This window comes from Homo sapiens, chromosome 4 (assembly GCF_000001405.40).
Source record: "Homo sapiens chromosome 4, GRCh38.p14 Primary Assembly".
NCBI classification, from domain to species: domain Eukaryota; kingdom Metazoa; phylum Chordata; class Mammalia; order Primates; family Hominidae; genus Homo; species Homo sapiens.
This window is the reverse complement of record NC_000004.12, coordinates 24,548,634-24,567,774: the sequence shown is the minus strand read 5'-3', so window position 1 is coordinate 24,567,774 and position 19,141 is coordinate 24,548,634. Positions and strand designations below refer to the sequence as shown.

At 36.6% G+C, this 19,141-nt stretch overlaps 1 protein-coding gene and 1 pseudogene across 3 annotated transcripts in view, besides 1 other annotated feature; both read left to right on the top strand.

The window, feature by feature from the left end:
* Positions 1-19,141, top strand: part of DHX15 (DEAH-box helicase 15) — a 57,080-nt gene that overhangs the window by 16,780 nt on the left and 21,159 nt on the right. For all 3 annotated transcript variants that reach the window (NM_001358.3, XM_047449698.1, XM_047449699.1), the window contains exons 4-6: positions 11,365-11,524; positions 12,832-13,050; positions 18,753-18,920. In NM_001358.3, the coding sequence (NP_001349.2) occupies positions 11,365-11,524; positions 12,832-13,050; positions 18,753-18,920 (547 nt within the window). The remainder of the gene's footprint in view (positions 1-11,364; positions 11,525-12,831; positions 13,051-18,752; positions 18,921-19,141) is intronic.
* RN7SL16P (RNA, 7SL, cytoplasmic 16, pseudogene) lies at positions 4,314-4,582 on the top strand (annotated as a pseudogene).
* Positions 14,017-14,585: an enhancer, noted in NCBI's record as "H3K4me1 hESC enhancer chr4:24554813-24555381 (GRCh37/hg19 assembly coordinates)". NCBI's record gives its function as "activates a minimal SCP1, AML or CMV promoter by ChIP-STARR-seq in naive H9 embryonic stem cells {active_cell/tissue: H9 hESC(naive)}" and the evidence as "EXISTENCE:reporter gene assay evidence [ECO:0000049][PMID:30033119]".

The following is a 19,141-nucleotide window of genomic DNA, read 5'->3' as shown; positions in this document are numbered from 1 at the left end:
AGAAAAAACCCAAAGAGATACCTAAAGAGCTTACCAGTCAGGGAACAATATATTGCTGTATTTGTGACTAGTCAGTGTAAAATACCTTGATTCATTTTGATGTAAGGAAGGAGAGGTTGTTGGCTTCTGGTGTAGCCCTTTTGCAGTGGATTTTAAGAAGCATTTGTCTGTGGTTGTAACTTTTTTTTTTTTTTTTTGGAGACGGAGTCTTGCTCTGTCGCCCAGGCTGGAGTGCAGTGGCACGATCTCGGCTCACTGCAGCCTCCACCTCGCGGGTTCAAGCCATTCTCCTGCCTCAGCCTCCCAAGTAGCTGAGATTACAGGCCCCCGCCACCACGCCCAGCTAATTTTTGTATTTTTAGTAGAGACGGGGTTTCACCACATTGGCCAGGCTGGTCTCAAACTCCTGACCTTGTGATCCGCCCGCCTCTGCCTCCCAAAGTGCTGGGATTACAGGCAGCCGCCACCACGCCCAGCCTGGTTGTAACATATTTTAATTCAGGAAATCACCTTCAGTTTTTTGAAGGAGCTGATAATTTTTTAGGGAAGAAAACAATTTGATAATCTTGTAAGCGTAGAAAAACGTAATAATTGAAGTTGTTAATTTGGTAGGTAATTTTACTGTTATTTTAGGTGATATGCTTCCTTTTTATTTTTTCGTAAGCTGTAAAATTAGAGATTTTTGTGTTGAAGGAATCTAATAATTTGTACACATAATGATTAGTCATTCAGTCAGCTAATAGTTAAGTACCTTCTATGTGTTGGGCAGTACTAGGTATAATGAAAAGTGAATCTAGTCCCTGTTCTTGTTAAAGCAAATAAAAATGTAAATAAAAAGTTTGACATTGTGATTAACCTTCTGAAGTAGAATATGGGTGTTTATATGAAAGAATGATTTGAGAATAAGTTTAGGTGGGAAGATGTTGGATTTATTTATTTATTTTTGAGATAGAGTCTCATCTCATCTGTCACTCAGGCTGGAGTGCAGTGGTGCCATCTCGGCTCACTGCAACCTCCACCCGCCGGGTTCAAGCGATTCTCATGCCTCACCCTCCCGAGTAGCTGAGATTACAGGCGTGTGCCACCATGCCCAGCTACTTTTTGTATTTTTAGTAGAGACAGAGTTTCACCGTGTTGGCCAGGCTGGTCTCAAACTCCTGACGTCAAGTGATCCACCCACCTCAGCCTCCCAAAGTGCTGGGATTACAGGCGTGAGCCACTGCTCCCGGCCAGGAAGTTGGAATTTAAGTCAAGGGTTGAATTTAAAGTAGTGGTTAGCCAGAACAGGGGTTATGGGATAGGGAATTACAGGGCATTGCCATAGCGGATTCTTTGGTGCCTCTGGAAACAGCTGACTGAAGCACCAACTGTATAAAGACTACTTATGCAGATTCCAGAGTGGGTTTCCAACAAGACAACTTCGTTTAAAAATACCTTGAGGCCAGGAGCAGAGGCTCACACATGTAGTCCCAACACTTTGGGAGGCTGAGGCAGGAGGATCACTTGAGTCCAGGGTGGGTAACATAGTGAGACCCTGGCTCTCCAAAAAGATTTATATATTAAAAAAATGAGCCAGGTGTGGTGGTATGTACCTGTAGTCCCAGCTACTTGGATGAGGTGAGTGGATCACTTGGACCCAAGAGTTTGAGACTGAGGTGAGCTAGGATTGTGTCACTGCGCTCCAGCCTGGGTGACAGAGCAAGACTCCATCTCTCTTAAAAAAAAAAAAAAATGGTGGTTTGTGAAGAGAATCAAAAGGAAATAGATCCTAGAGCATAGCCTCTAGGGTCAGTGTCTGAGTTGTCCTAGCTCTGCCCACGTATTAGCTGTGACATTAACTATGTGTTAAGTAGCCCTCATGTGCTTGTTTCTTTTTCAAAAGATGGAGCTGGTACTAACTACCTGATAGGGTTGTTCTGAGATCAGGTATAGTTGTCTGTGTACAACTCTTCGTCATTTATGGCACTCTGTTTAGGGGTGCATCAGTCAGCATTGCTGATTCTTGCTGCTGTTGGTGATGATGGTAGATATCCAGTTGGAGAAATTATTGGATCTTTTTAACCAGTTAACCCAGTTAGAGAGGGACTCAATAAAACCAATTTAATAAAGTTCCTTTTGGCACAATAATTGAATTACAATTGGGGATGTAAACTTAAACCTTGACGTGACTTGTCACCGGAATGAATCAATTCAAGTATTCTTTTAGGGCTGGAGGTAAAGGTGAAACAGATGTGGCACTTTAAGGACCATTAATTATACAAACAATTATAAACTAATTTATTGAACATCTGTTATGTGGCAGTCTTGGTTCTAGTTCATGTGTAGCACATAAGTTAGGTAAGGGTAATTTTATTGGACTCTTAAAAAGAGGTGGGAATAAAGGATAAATGTGGTTATTTAACACTGAGGCAGTTTCTGCCAGAGGACTAAAAAGTTACTGTGGTCACCCTAGAAGTAGAATTCTATTGGCTTTTGCTAATTCCTAGAAAGCTAACTTGGTTTGCTGAGGCTCTACATGTTTTGTTAAATTTGACCTTTGTACTTAAGTATTTGTGAGGATTAGATAGAGAAGGCTCTCTTTGTTTATACAGTGCCAATATCTTAAAAAATATTAAGTAGAACCTACACCCTACACATTCATTCTAGCTTTCTGTGAGTTCTGTTGAGGATGAAAGAATATTCCCTTTAAAACTTGTGAAAATTTGAGGAATAGGCAATATATTTTTAGTTGTCTTTATTTTCTATTGTTAACTTAGGCATTTTTTCGTGATTAGGTATCTAACTCTGAAATACATACCAAATGTATTTTAGCTGTTTACACTAACAAAGCTGTATGGTTTGATTGTGGTCTTAAACATTTCAGCTCTCTTTAAGAGTCCAGGGTTTGATGTTTCCTTTTTGCCCTGTTTGATGTATTGAACATTGAAACACTGTAGATTCTAAATTATTCAAAATATGTTCCCTTTCCTTGTGAGCATTTACATCTAGTAGTTTGTTGTCATTGTAACCAGTATTTTGCTATATGTAGTGCTATTGTGATTACAGTAAGTTAGTGTTGCTCATGTTGTGTAATATGGTTGCTAAGAACATACCAGGTTGAACTAGAGCCTGTCTTTGTTTATTCCTTCACCAATAAAAGAAACATTATGTAAGGACTCGGCTAATATCACTGGCTCTTCACTGACTTGGTTGGGGAGGGGAAAACTGTCAAGCCAATAAAAGGTGATTTGAATGTATAGAGATTTCACAGAGGAGGAGGTATTTCATCTGAGTTGAGAAGGACGGAGAGACTTTGATAGGCAGATGGACTAGCCAGTAGCAAATAGTATCAATCCTTTCCTGATACTATAGGTAGATGAGCTGGTTTCTATTAAGGTTGAAGTTCTCACACTGTCTTAATTGACAGCACACGTAATATCTCAATAATTTCTTCGTAGTACCCCAGACCTAAAGAAATATTTCAGAATTCCATTTACTAAGTAGTTGGGTCCTAATAACCTAAGTATTTATGTTTCTTTTAAAAAATACTACACATACGTTGAAAGAAAAATTATTTCATTCATAAATAACCACCATTATTTATTAAGTGTGTTAATGCTATTTGATCACTCACAGTTTCTCAAACCTTGATAACAGATTGAACACTACCTCTTTTATTTCCTGTTCTATACTGATGTTTGCCTCATGCTTTTTTTTTTTTTTTTTTTTGAGACGGAGTCTTGCTCTGTTCCCTAGGCTGGAGTGCAGTGGTGCAGTCTTGGCTCACTGCAAGCTCCGCCTCCCAGGTTCACACCATTCTCCTGCCTCAGCCTCCCAAGTAGCTGGGACTACAGCTGCCCACCACCACGCCCGGCTAATTTTTTTTTGTATTTTTAGTAGAAACGGGTTTCACTGTGTTAGCCAGGATGGTCTTGATCTCCTGACCTCGTGATCCACCCACCTCGGCCTCCCAAAGTGCTGGGATTACAGGCGTGAGCCACCGTGCCCAGCCTTGCCTCATACTTTTTGAAACAGCAACTATCAAAAGTCTAGCTTCCACAAATACGACATCAAAAGGATTTACGGTCTACTTTTGAAACTCTCAGCTACCTTAAACTTGTAGTTCCTGGGATGTCCTACATGTTGAACATGGAAAATAGTAAAAAAATTATGTTTTAAATCATTAAAATGAGAACATACATATTCTAGGTGATCATTTAATGCATTTACAGATGGAATCAACAACTTACTCTACCATTTGAGTGATCTGTTTATACCCAAAAAAAGTAGTTTAATCTTCTTTTGGCTGCATGGACATTAAGGTTGTAAACAAGTCCAGGTGCAGTGGCTTATGCCTGTAATCCCAATACTTTGGGAGGCTGAGGAAGGAGGATTGCATGAGTCCAAGAGTTCCGGGATGTAGTGTGCTAGTTTGGCATCCATATGGTAACTCCTTGGAGAGCGGGGGACTATCAGGTTGCCCCAGGAGGTGTGAACCGGCCCAGGTTGGAAAATGAGCAGGTCAAAGCTGATCAGTGGTGGGATTGTATCTGTGAGTAGCCACTGCCTTCCAGCCTGGGCAACATAGCAAGGCCTTGTCTCTTTAAAATATATACATACATATATATGTATTTCTTATATATAGATTATATATATTTCTTTATATGTATATAAAGATAAACCTGAAAGATCAGTTGTAAATAGAAAAATTATACCTGGACATTTAAATATAAGACCTATAGGTTCATTTATTGTTAACATTAATCAACACCATTTTGTTGAGTATGGGTTCATTTGTTTGGAATTCCATTTAATTCTAAAGCTGGAATTTAAACTCAAACATTTAGAAAATACACAAGTTGTTTTTCTGGAATTTAAGACAGTTCAATCTTTTGGAATGCTTGGTTTCTAGGCTCTTTTAAATCTTTCAGAATTGTCTCACAGATTTGATAGTTCTGTGTGTGTGAAAGATTCATCTTGTTCTAAACTTCTGAAACATATGACTTGGTGTTCATATATATGACTCTTTTCTATGCTTGGGGTTTATCATTTCATGTCAACTGTAATTCTCTTGACCCAACTGATGGAGACAGGATTATGTGTATATTACACTATGTTTTATAAAGTGTATGGCTATCCCAAGGATTTATGAGTTACATGGAGGCTAGTTAAGAGTGTGGTATAGAACCGTTTATTGAATATTTCCCAAGTGCCAGGCAGTTAGTGTACTGAGGACTTTATATATGTACATTGTTTTATTTTAAACAATTTTTACCCTGTTCACATTTTTACAAGGGGACCATTACGGAAGAAATTGTCCAAGATCAGACAATAATAGGAAAACAGGGACTTAAACCCAGTTTTGTCTTGCAGCAAGTATGTATTCTTAACCTCTGTGTTTTATTTCCTTCATCATTGTTCCTCATCGCTCCATGTAATTCTCTGAGTGTATTGTAAAGCTTTCCTAGGTAATATGGAGAACAGTAAATCTAATTACTCAGATTAAACAGTGCCATTCATTTATAATAGATGCCTTTTTCAGGTTGCTTTATTTATGCTTTTTTAACTTTTAGGTTCAAGGGTATATGTGCAGGTTTGCTGTATAGGTAAATTGCATGTTGTAGGAGTTTGGTGTACAGATTTTTTTTTTTTTTTTTTTTTTTTGAGACAGTGTCTCACTCTTCCAGGCTGGAGTGCAGTGACCCAATCTCAGCTCGCTGCAGCCTGTGCCTCCTGGGTTCAAGCGATTCGATTCTCTTGCCTCAGCCTCCCAAGTAGCTGGGGCTACAGGTGCACGCCACCACGCCTGGTGAATTTTTGTATTTTTTGGTAGAGATGGGATTTCCACATGTTGGCCAGGCTGGTCTTGAACTTTGACCTCAAGTGATTGACCTGCTTCGGCCTCCCAAAGTGCTGGGATTACGGGCTGGTGTACAGATTACTTTGTTACTCGGGTAATAAGCATAGTTACCTGACAGGTAGTTTTTCTGATTCTCTTTCTCTTCCCACCCTCCATCCTCTGGTTTGTTGTTCCTTTCTTTGTGTGCATATTTACTCAAAGTTGAGCTCCCAACTGAGAACATGAGGTATTTGGTTTTCTGTTCTTGTGTTAGTTTGCTTAGGATGATGGCCTTTAGCTTCATATATGTTGTCACAAGAACATGATCTCTTTTTTATGGCTGCATAGTATTCCATTGTGTATATGTGCTACTTTTAAAAATGAATTCTACTTTTAATGGACATTTAAGTTGATTCTATGTCTTTGCTATTGTGGATAGTACTGCAGTGAATATACACAGGCCTGTGTCATTATGGTAGAAGGGTTTATATTCTGTATACCCAATAATGGGATTGCTGGGTCAACTGGTAATTCTATTATAAATCTTTGAGAAGTTGCCAAACTGCTTTCCACAATGGCTGAACTAATACAATCCCACCAGCAGTGGATAAGCATTCCCTTTTCTCTACAACCTTGTTATTTTTTGACTTTTTAGTAGCCATGCTGACTGGTATAAGATGGTATCTCATTGTGGTTTTAAGTTGCTTTATTTTTAATGGCTGCATAGCATTTGTGATTGTACCTTAGTTTACTTAACAAATTCTATTGATGGAACCTCATTTGCAGTTTTTGCTATTAGAAACATTTGCTGTCCTCCGTATCCTCTTACAAACTTGTACACACATTTTTTTCACGCATACACATCTGTGAAATAAATTCCCTACAAGTGAAATTGTTCGGGTCATAGAGTATACTTGAATTTTATCAGCTTTTGGCAGATTGCCCTCCATAGAGATTTTTATATACTCTCACCAGTAAGGAATCAGTAAATGAGCATCTGTTTCTTTACCCTTGCCAACTCAGCATTATAAAACTTTTTATCTTTGTCAATCTTGTTAAGTGAAAAATGGGATTACTTTATGGTTTTAATTTGCATTTATTTTCTGTGAAATTGAACATTTTTGTATATTAGCCATTTGTATTTCTTTTTGGAATCTGAGACTGGTGCTTTTTTCATCTTCTCAGGATTTCTACCTAGTTGATAGCTGTTTTTAAGGTGCTATTTTAAAATGCATCTTAGTTTCAGAGAATTTAAATTTGACCAAATATGCGGTATTATAAAATTGATAGAATTAGATGTTTCATCATATGCTTTGCCCATATTTCTATAGTGGATTGGCCTTTTTCTTATAGATTTGTAGGAGCTTATAACAGAATTAGCACCTTGGATATAAGTTGCAATTTTTGCTCAGTTTGTCATACATTTCTTTGCTTTATGACACTTCATGCTACATAGAGACTTGAATTTTGTACACGTATTGAATTAACCACTTTTATGATGTCCAGGTTTTGCATCATACCCTGCCCAGTGTTGGTTTAAATAATTTAATCCATGTATTTTACTATTTTGTTTTTGTTTTAAACATTTAACCAAGCTGGAATTTTACTGGGGAGGGATCATAAGCTTTGAGGTAGGGATTTCTGGTTTTCATTTTATAAAAATGATTTTTTGCCTTTCTTAGGCTTAGTTTGTAATTTTTTGGAATGTTTCATAAAATATATATACATATATATAAATACAAAAATATAAATAAGTAATATATTTGCAGGATGTAATGTTTTACCATGGTTTGTTCAAATCAGAATTAGTGATGTGTTAGGTGTCGTCATCTTGCTGAGATCATAGTTGGCAGTTGGCTTGTAGTTATACTACGCCATCTACATGTGCCTGTTGCAAAAAAATACTTAAGCTAGGTTGATACTGTTCAGTACATGGGGTTTTTGGTATATTTTATTAAGCAGTCACAGTTGAAAAGCTGAACTGTTACTTACTCCAAGGATGTTTTTGCTACTTTAGACATCTTTAGGTAATCTGCTTCTTGTTTAATTTGATTAATTTAGACTAGTGTTTCTTAAACTTTAGCAATCATCAGAATCACTTGAAAACTTGTTAGAGCAGATTGCTATGCCTCACCTTCAAAATTTCTGATTAAGTAGATCTGAGATGAGACTCAAGTTTTGTAGTTCTTACTAGTTCCAAGGTGATGCTAATAAATTTTTAAGAGCATCTCTGCCCTAAAACAGTTGGAAAACACTGTAGATAGTAAGGCACCCAGTAAAGTGTGGAGTTTGGCTATCCTGTGGCACTTTTATTAATTCATCATTGAAACTTCAAACTTAAAATTTTACTATTGTGACTCATTCCTTAGCCTGGATAAATATTTCATTACTACTAAGAAAGTTAGTAAAACTTGACTCTTACATAAAGGAAAATGGACTGTAGTTTTTATCTCCAGTGCCTGATTCTGCCTTTCCTGAGTTCTGTGTCAAGTTAGTTTTTTGTTGTTAAGCAAAGGGTTTCATACATTTAACAGTATAGCAAATCGTCAAGTACTGTTTCTTTTTTTTTTTTTTTTTTTTTAGTGGCTTAAAATTGACAAATTCATTCTCTCACAATTCTGAAGGTCAGAAGTTCAAAAACAGTATGTTGGCAGGTTAGTTCCAACTGGAGGCTCTAAGTGGCAATAGTCTTTCATGATTCTCTCCTAGCTTTTGGTGGTGGCTAACAGTCCTTAGCATTCCTTGGCTTGTAGCTTTGTAACCACAGTCTCTGCCTTCATCTTCACGTGGCTTTCCTTTTGTGTTCAAATCTCCCTCTCTTTACATTTTGTAAGGATACTGGTCATTGGATTTAGGGCCCACTCTTAAATTCAGGGCGATCTTGTCTGAAATTTATAACTTAATTACTTCTGCAAAGACCCTATTTCTGAGTAATGTCACGTTGATAGGTACCAGAGGTTAGGACCTGGGCATATCTTTCGAATAGCTTTTTGCTATGAAATTTGTACGTACAATGGGTTCCTTTATCTGGGACTTTGTGAAGAGTGTGTTAATGTAGGAGAGACTTAGGACTGGGAATCAGTACAGTGATACCTAGTCTTAGTAACTGGTTTTGAGAGTCTGGAAAAGTTGACTACGGTTTTTTTCGTTTTCTTCACTGGAAAAGAAGTAAATTTGACTATATCCTTGAGACCTTTGAAATTTTGAAATTTCATTTTTCTTGAAATTATTCATTGTACAAACAGCAGTATCCCATATTAACTGGTGATGCAAGAAGTAATTAAGTGCAGCACCTCATGGAATGGGATCACTGGGTGATGATCAGTATTGAGGAACCATTGGGAATTGTCTGGATGATAGAAGTTTTGGCCATTTAACTAAGTACTTGCAATATGCATAGTTAATAAAGCACAATAAAATATTTCCATTAATCTAATTTATAATATTTATAGTCTGCCATCTGTAACATTTCTTCCCTTAGAAAAATAAAAAGGAATGTCTGTTGGTTAGCTCTGCTCCATATTGTGATTGATTAAAGCTTGAGGAATGTGAGGAGAAAAAAGATCAAAATAAAGAAGGTGACTTTTAAAACTAGTTTTAAGAAGTTTTCAACTTAAAGTCATATTTTATCATTTCTGTGACTTTTTTCTCAAGTTTTTATTGTCTGAAGTTACAATGTGTCTCACAATCTACTGAGGTCTTGTAGTTGGTGGCAGTTTGGTTATTATTGCCTGTGAATGCTTGAACTCGATCTAGCTGTACATATTTTCACCTCAAATAATGTGAATTGTTGGGTCTGTATATACTGAGAGTATTTGCTAATTTAAATGCCTTCAGAAATATTAAATATTACACTATGATTCCATGTTGAAATGAGCACTGAGTATCAAGAGGCTGGGAAATGGAGCAATAGGGTGTAAATATGCTAGTATTTGAGCAAATGTTGGAAGAGTAACCAATCCTTTTTTTTTTTTTTTGCCTTGCAAATCAACAGACCGCTCTATTGAAGCTAAGAGAGGTAACTCACAAATAGAGGAAGCTGTATGTTATGTTCTGCTACTGAGATCATGTACAAGAGTATTGCCTCTCTCGTGTCTGTGATATATCGGAAGACAGGAAAAATTACCAAACGTCCTCAGATCAAAGAAATTTCAAAGCAGCTAAGGGCTATAGTGTTGCTGATTCTTGCACTATGCTTTACTGTCTTTAAGGCACTGAGTCATAATTTAATTGGCAGTGTTTTTTCTTTCCTGGTCTTACATAAAATAACCTTATAGCTAATGCTGTTTGTCCCTCCCAGGAATGTGGTAGTTTATTTTTAAAAATATGACCAAGGACAAGAAGCATAAAGCATATAAATGAGTTAAGATGGATTTGTTTGCCAATAGTTTATGAAATTTAGAATTAAGTTTAGGTGAAATAAAGAGAATTCACTTCTTTTTGTTGTACACTATCAATTTGCTGAACTTAATGCTCCAGCAGATGGCATGAGCTAAAAATATCCAGTTGGTCCATGAAAGATTAGGTTAGACTAATCATAAAAAGAGCCAAAATGGTGAATTCATAAATGATGGCTTCAGATTTTTTAATACCACTTTTAAATCCGTAAATAAAATAATGGGTTTTTATCTAACTGGATGAGCTGTGACTTAAGCATCTAAAGGCATCCTGTGTTTTGTCCAGGTGCCAAAAGGAAGATAGTTGTTTTTCATAGTGACATCAGTAACCAGTGTGGAATGGACAGGAGATAGCTGACCCCTGCAAAGTTATACAATCTTGACCCTTGATCTCATTGCCTTCATTCTTACGTGGCGCCTGTCTTGTGATAACTGGAGTCCATATTAGCAGCCTTCACTTGAGCCATCCCTAACTAAGCCTGGTTTCCCTTTTTGGTTCATTGATCAATCTGACGTCATTTGTTTTTATCTTCCATTTATGTATCAGCATTTGTTTAGTGTTGATGCTGCCCCTCAGTCCCACTTCTTTTATTATTGAATTCCTTTTGTGCTTTAAGATTATTTCTTTGGGGTGGGAGGACTCACGCTTTCAGCCCTTTTGAACCAAGAGCCTGTTGTTAGCTTATTAAGTAAGGAATTGTTAAGGCTTAACAAAAAATGTTTATTTGCATGTGGTAACATTTTAGTGGTGTGACATGAAGCAACTTAAAATGGTTTATTAGATTTTGCGTGTTGAATATTTGTATGTTTTTAAAAGGTTTAAGAAATTGAAAATGACGAATTTTGCCTTGGCATTCATGTGAAACCATGTGATCATTATGTTCCATAATTGGTCATATCATGTCTTCCCAGTACATTTCAGTATTACATTTTTCAAGAATTGATGAAGCATATCTTGTTTCATTGTATACTCTTAAAAGATTTTCTTGAAACTTAATTTTGCAATTGATCATGAAACAGTAGCACATTTGTTTGGGGCAGAAGTTTATTTTTAATTTACCTTATGTCTTTGCATTTCATTTTTGTCACGAAGTTTGGTTTTAAAATGACCTAACGGAACCTTTAACCAACATGTTCTTTGGAATATAGGTATATGACTGATGGGATGTTACTTCGTGAAGCTATGAATGATCCCCTCCTGGAGCGTTATGGTGTAATAATTCTTGATGAGGCTCATGAGAGGACACTGGCTACAGATATTCTAATGGGTGTTCTGAAGGAAGTTGTAAGACAGAGATCAGATTTAAAGGTGAAGTAATTTCTTCTCTCCATTTAACTATATATGTGTGTATGTGGGCATAAAAATGGGGAATACATACTGATCAATAACCAACTGTAAGAAATCACCTGTAAAAGAAGGAACTAGTAAGTACCTTCTTGTTTTGTTTCTGCTTTGCTGTGCTTTCATTTTAGACTTTATTTCTCCCCCTTTATAGTAATGCATTTTTAAGCCCAATCTTCTCAATTTGTAACCCACCTAGTTCTTTTATAATCTAATAACATATATGTGTAACTGTGCTACTCACTGTACCCTTCATTAAGTACAGAGGCTTATTTTACTTAAGGATCAAATCTTTCTCCCTCAGATCCATGTCCTTGTCTCATCACAAACACCCATTGTAACTTATAATGCTGGAGAGTGGAAATAACTATACACAGGACAGGCAGCTCCTTAGAAATGTAGTCACTTACCCTCGTGTATTACTTCTTTCCTCCATACCACATGTACCTTGGCCCCTGTTACTGTATTGATTAAGGGCCTAAAACTATTTTCTGACATTTTTGTCCCCCAAAGTCTATGATGTTCCCCTTTTTGCTGTGTTGTGTGTGTATACTATTCATTGGAATGTAGACTCATCCCTTGTTGATACAAGTGTTATAGAAGGGTTCATAGCCTGGTGACAGAGTGAGACTCTTAGCAGAAACAAACAAACAAACAAGGGTTCAACACTGGCAAGAAAGATTCTGGGTCTTTAGAAAAAAAACTGAGGCCTGAGCATGTTTTTGTTTATACAAATTAGATCAATGCTTTAAAAAATATATTTAAAGAATAATGTGAGTACTATCATTATTTATTAAATTTATTGTGCTACCAAGGTTTTAGTGAGAACCTGAAAGTAGAAATTAAGAACTCTTATGAAACTTTTTATGGAGGAACCTTTTTATATCTGGTCCACTTATTTTTTTTTTTTGCATTTTCTGTTTTTTCCTATTTGCAAAGTTTTGTTTTAATAATGGTAGCAATAATTATACTGCATATTAATGTTTTCTTTTAGCAATCTGAATTACATATAATTTTATAAAATCTGATTTTAAGGTATTTTATGAAGAAATGCTGTAGTTTGTGCATTTATTTTTTTTCTAAATTTTTAAAAATGTAAATAACTTTTACTATAGTTCAGCCATTATGTATTTGATTTTTCATTTACAGTTTATTTGAAGGTTTTCATGGGCATTTTTATAGCTGATATATGTAGAATAGTAAATATTGCTATACTGTAAGACCATGTAAGAATCCTTGAAGACAGCTTCAAATAATTTACTGTTTTCTTTCAGGTTATAGTTATGAGCGCTACTCTAGATGCAGGAAAATTCCAGATTTACTTTGATAACTGTCCTCTCCTAACTATTCCTGGGCGTACACATCCTGTTGAGATCTTCTATACTCCAGAACCAGAGAGAGATTATCTTGAAGCAGCAATTCGAACAGTTATCCAGATTCATATGTGTGAAGAGGAAGAGGGAGATCTTCTTCTTTTCTTAACTGGTCAAGAGGTATTGTTTTAATTTTCTTCATTATTTAGCTTTTGACATACTGTTTCTAATATGCAGCAACCTTAATCATAAGAACATGTTAATCATATTTTTTATTTCAATGTTCTTCAACCTGATTGTATTAATATGTAAAATATATAACCCCTTTTATCTGCATACTGTAGGAATACTTCTGTATACCACTAGAGTTTGTGTTATAATTATTTTAAGAGTGTTAAATGCTTTTGGAATTTCAAGATTTTGCAATTGTAGTTTAAGAGATCCCTGGGATATAAGTGCTATTATGCTGAAGCATGAATGTGCATCACAGCTGCTTTGAAATCAGGTTATCTTCATCAGTATTTAGCTTGTGAGTGAACTTGGGTGCCTATTCATCATCAAAACACTTCAGTTTGGTTTTGTCTTCCCATATGCTCATGAAATTTGGGAAGGATTACTAAAAGTTCTTAGTTAGAATTTACTTCATTTAAAATTTTATTCTCAGATGTAGCATTTCTTTTTTTTTTCGAGACGGAGTCTTGCGCTGTCGCCCAGGCTGTAGTGCAGTGGTGCAGTCTTGGCTCACCGCAAGCTCCGCCTTCTGGGTTCACGCCATTCTCCTGCCTCAGCCTCCCAAGTAGCTGGGACTACAGGTGCCCGCCACCACACCCGGCTAATTTTTTGTATTTTTAGTAGAGACAGGGTTTCACCGTTTTAGCCAGGATGGTCTCAATCTCCTGACCTCGTGATCCACTCTCCTCGGCCTCCCAAAGTGCTGGGATTACAGGCGTGAGCCATCGCACCCGGCCAGATGTAGCGTTTCTAAGCTTCTTTTCAATAGGGTGTTTATAGGTGTGCTGTGGAATACCTGAGTGGCTAAATAAATTCAGAAGCTATTTGGATAATACAAAGTTTTAAAAAGCCTTTTACGAAAGGGTTTTTCTTTTTCTTTTTGGGGGTGGGGAGGGAAGACAGAGTCGCGCTCTGTCAACCAGGCTGGAGCGCAGTGGCATGATTATCGGCTCACTGCAACCTCTGCCTCCCGGGTTCAAGCGATTCTCTTGCCTCAGCCTCCCAAGTAGCTGGGATCACAGGTGCCCACCATCACACCTGGCTAATTTTTTTTTAATTTTTAGTAGAGACGGGGTTTCACTATGTTGGCCAGGCTAGTCTCGAACTCCTGACCTCAGGTGATCTGCCCTTCTCGGGTTCCCAAAGTGCTGGGATTATAGGCGCGAGCCACCACACCTGGCCCCAAAATGCTTTTTTGATGGCATATAAACAGCATTTGTGCTGTAATGTAGTATTGAGGCTGTTGGGATAATCGTTTTGTCCTCTTGTGTCTGGTCTCTAGTTTCTCATTTCCTCCAAAGTGCATAGTATATTTTTATTTTTATTTATTTTGTTTTATTATTTATTTATTTGAGATGGAGTTTTGCTCTTGTTGCCCAGGCTGGAGTGCAGTGGCGCGATCTCGGCTCACCGCAACCTCTGCCTCCCAGGTTCAGGTGATTCTCCTGCCTCAGCCTTCCGAGTAGCTGGGATTACAGGCATGCGCCACCATGCCCAACTAATTGGTATTTTTGGTAGAGATGGGGTTTCTCCGTGTTGGTCAGGCTGGTCTTGAACTCCCAACTTCAGGTGATCCACCCGCCTCGGCCTCCCAAAGTGCTGGGATTACAGGCGTGAGCCACTGCACCTGGCCATATTTTTATTTTTTAAATCACTATTTAAAATTGTCATCATTCTCAGATAACATAAGCGTATTGAGATTCTATCAGAAATATCAAATGGCCTCATGGTTAAGGACCCGAAAGGTTTTTCTCTGAGACAACTTTGTGCGGTATTTTCTGTGAATCCCACAGCTGGGGAAAGGAAGGGAGTAAGCCGAAGGGTTTTCAGATGTATGCTAGAGTGTCTTTCATGAAATAAAATGCTGCTCTAGTTGTCAGCTGTTTTTTTGCATACCATTGCTTCTTTAAGTTATCTTTAGATTCCCAGTCTTGAATTTGAAGAGTTTTGGGGAGAAGGTAGCAGAAAACCTAACGTTTTGTTTACATTTCATTTGTTGTATTTAGTAGTAGAGCTGGTCTAAAGTAAATATTACCTTCTCATTTTTGTGAACCTTCATTATTTTTACTTGGTAAGTTAAATGCAACTGCGAAATCAGTACTCCTTTCTTCATAAATTTGAATAGCCTCCATGAAATTGAGTAATCTCATAAAAATTTAAAACTGGTTTTTAAGAACATATTCTGACCACTAAATAAAAGTGCTTCTGTAGTCACATGAGTTAATTTGGGAGGGAGAGAGAACAGTTTAAAGTGTTGCCTAGATAGTAATTAGATAAGAGTGATTGTAATTAAATAATTTTATTTTTAATTTTGCTTAGTAAATTTTTTTTTCAACATGCAGTGAGTTAATTGGTAAGGTCCAGATTAATTTACTAACATATTGCTGCTTTTGGAGTTAAAAATCTTTTCTCAAATCAAAAACTCCTGAACTGTCTGTCTTTATTCTCAGTATTGCTAATGACTAAGCAGATGGCTGCTGTTGAAACTTCTTTTCCTCCACTACCTGTTTCTGTTTATATTCTGATGAATGCAGATAAGTTTTGTGGCATTCTCAGCTGATAGTGTTGACTTCTTGGAAGTTTGGCAAACCTCAGGGAAAATTTTTATTGCAAGTTTTAAAGCTGTTTAGGACTTTATCTAAAAACTTAAGTGTTACGGGATTTCTTCCACATTTTAGAGATGCCTTTATATCCTACATAGTCATCATTTTGTTTTAGCTCCTTGCATACTTAGCAGATTGGGTAGTCTAATCTCCAGTAAAGTTGGAATTGTCATTTTAAAATACTGGAATCACAAAGCAAATGTCTAATTTAAGCACTTAATTTTTAATGTGTGAAATCTGGATATTTTGTGATTTCTGAGCATTTATTTTTCATTTATGTACAGTAAAATTAACAAAATTGCAGATACTCTTAAATGTTGGAATCCTAGTTTTATATTATGTTCAAATGTTTTTTAAGTTGGAGAGCTCTTAATTTTTTATTTGCATGCCAGCAGGGGGCATTCTAATCTAGATACAACATTTGAAAGCAGTATTTTCAAAAAATATTTGTTCGCTTTGTTATATTTTTTATTTAGATGAATAGCATCTACTTTCATTTTCTTTTAGAAACTTGAGATTTCAAAGGAGGATCTAGTAACATTGAATCTTTAATAGTTTTCTGTGTCACAATTTTTGAGACAGATAACCTTTAAAAAAAACTGATGTGTTTGAAATAAGTGAAAAGTAATTTATTTGTTCTTACTGTGTTTAAGAACGTTGTGTTTTTTGATATAGAGACACAGTTGGACATTAAAAAAATATAAAGTAAATGTCCTAAAATTCTTCCTCACCGTTTAGTATCATTGTCCTTTGAAAAAAACACGCACTTTGTTGACAAGGGTAGCTTCTGATTGGGTCATTTATTGGACAGGCTGCCTAGTGTATAATAAGCGTTTTACATACTTCTGGGTTTAATTGAATTAATACTTCAATAAAATTTAGAATACATTTGTCCGCAGTGCTGCCTTCCATTTTTAAGTTCCTTTGCCTCTCCCAGAGCTATCATACATAATCTGTCTCTCTCTTTTTTTCCGTCTTGATATTCATTATGTCTCCTCTTGAATGCACATGTGTTAGAATATAGTCATGTGCCACATAACAACGTTTTGGTCAAGACAAACTTCTCAGATAGCTGTGGTGCTGCTCCCGTAAGATTATAGTGGAGCTGAACGTAACCTTGCAGCATCACAGCACAACACATTACTCACTGCTTTGTGATGATGCTAGTTCAAACAAACCTACTTTGCTGCCAGTTGTTTTAAAAGTACTATATAGTATGTACAATTATGTCCAGTACATAATAATAATGATAATAGGACATTGTTAGTGGTTTTTGTATTTACTATACTACATGTTTTATCATTATTTTAGAGTGTTCTCCTTCGACTTAAAAATGTTAACTGTAAAACAGGCTTAGGCAGGTCCTTCAGGAGGTGTTCTAGGAGAAGGCATTGTTATCACAGGAGATGACAGCTCCATGTGTGTTACTGGCCTTTGGAGACCTTCCAGTGGGTTAATACGTTAAGGTGGAAGATAGTGATATTGATGATCCTGACCCTGTGGGGGCCTAGGTTAAGTGTGTGTTTGTGTCTTTTAACCAAAAAGTTTAATAAGTTGAAAAAGTAAAAAATTTTAAATTGGAATGAAGCTTATAGAATAAGGATATAAAGAGAAAATACTTTTGCACAGCCATACGGTGTGTTTGTGTTTTAAGCTAAGTGTTACTACACAAGAGTCAGAGTTAAAATTTAGAAGTTTATAAAGTTAAAAAGTTGTAGTAAGCTAAGGTTAATTTAATGAAGAAAGAAAAATATATCAAAAAAAAGAAAATACATTTTTTTATAAATTTTGTATCGCCAAAATGTACAGTGTTTATGAAGTCTACAGTTCTGTACAGAATGTCCTAGGCCATCACATTCACTAAGTACTCACTCACTCACAGCAACTTTCAGTCCTGCAGACTTCTTTCATGGCAGATGCCCTATATGAGTGTACTGATTTTTACCGTTTTTTTTTTTTTTTTTTTTTTTTTTTTTGAGACGGAGTTTCCCTCTTTTTGCCCAGGCTGGAGTGCAATGGTGCAATCTCGGCTTATTGCAACCTCCTGCGTCCCGGGTTCAAGCGATTCTCCCGCCTCAGCCTCCCGAGTAGCTGGGATTACAGGCATGTGCCACCACGCCCAGCTAATTTTGTATTTTTAGTAGAGACGGGGTTTCTCCATGTTGGTCAGGGTGGTCTCGAACTCCCAACCTCAGGTGATCCGCCCACCTCGGCCTCCCAAAGTGCTGGGATTACAGGTGTGAGCCACTGTGCCTGGCGGTTTTTATCTTTTATACCATATTTTTGCCATGCCTTTTGTTTAGATGAACAAACACTTCCCATTGTGTTACAGTTGCCTACTGTTATTCACTTCAATAACATGCTCCTCAGGTTTGTAGCCTAGGGAGCAATAGGCTATACAGTTTAGGTTCGTGAATACACTAGAATGTTTACACAACAACAGAATCGCCTAACAAATTTCTCAGAACATATTCCTGTCAGTAAGCAACGTGTGACTGTAGTTTTCTGAGAAAAAAATTTGTAGCTGCCTAAGACATTTGGGTTAGCCTAGTTCTTAAATATCTGTGTTGATACTGTAAAGGTGTTTGTTCTCATTAGGCACAATGAAGCAAATCTTCCATATAATTGCATTAGTGATACGTGACATTAAAGCCTAATTGGCTTATTTAAAATGTCTAGCACATCAATTTCTTTTAGATTGTGAAAATTGAAAAGGTCGTGAGTGCATTTAAATATTCCTGAGTGAGAAATTTCAATTTTAGTACAATTTGTTGAGAATTAATTAGGAAATCTGACTCTAAGAAAAGGGGTGTGGAATGCAAATAAGGCAGTTATATATTCATTTGAATACAAAAATGAAAGTTTCTTGGATTGTTTTGGAAATCCCATTGAAATTTGCTAAATTAGTTTTGGTTACTAAATTGAAAACAGGGTATCCATGAAGTGAAAGAAGATGGCATACATAAAACAGACTGCATAGAACTAGGATTATAATAAATACTTTAAAATGTTTCAGTATTCGTTTTTAGACTCACTTTTATTTTGTAGGAAATTGATGAAGCCTGTAAGAGAATAAAGCGTGAAGTTGATGATTTGGGCCCTGAAGTTGGTGACATTAAAATCATTCCATTGTATTCTACACTTCCACCTCAGCAGCAGCAACGCATTTTTGAGCCTCCACCTCCCAAAAAACAGAATGGAGCAATTGGAAGAAAGGTAACATTAGAAATGCTCTTTATAAATATTTCACTAATAATGATTTATGAGATATAAACTGTATTCAGTTATAAAGGACTAAGTTATGGGTGATTGTGATCTAGGTTTTATACAACAAAATAATATCCATTTGTAGGGTTCCGCATATCTCTTGACCCTAAAGTAAGAATGAGTACTGCTTCTTCTAGGTAGTGCCTCCTTAGCAAATGGAAGATTAGTTA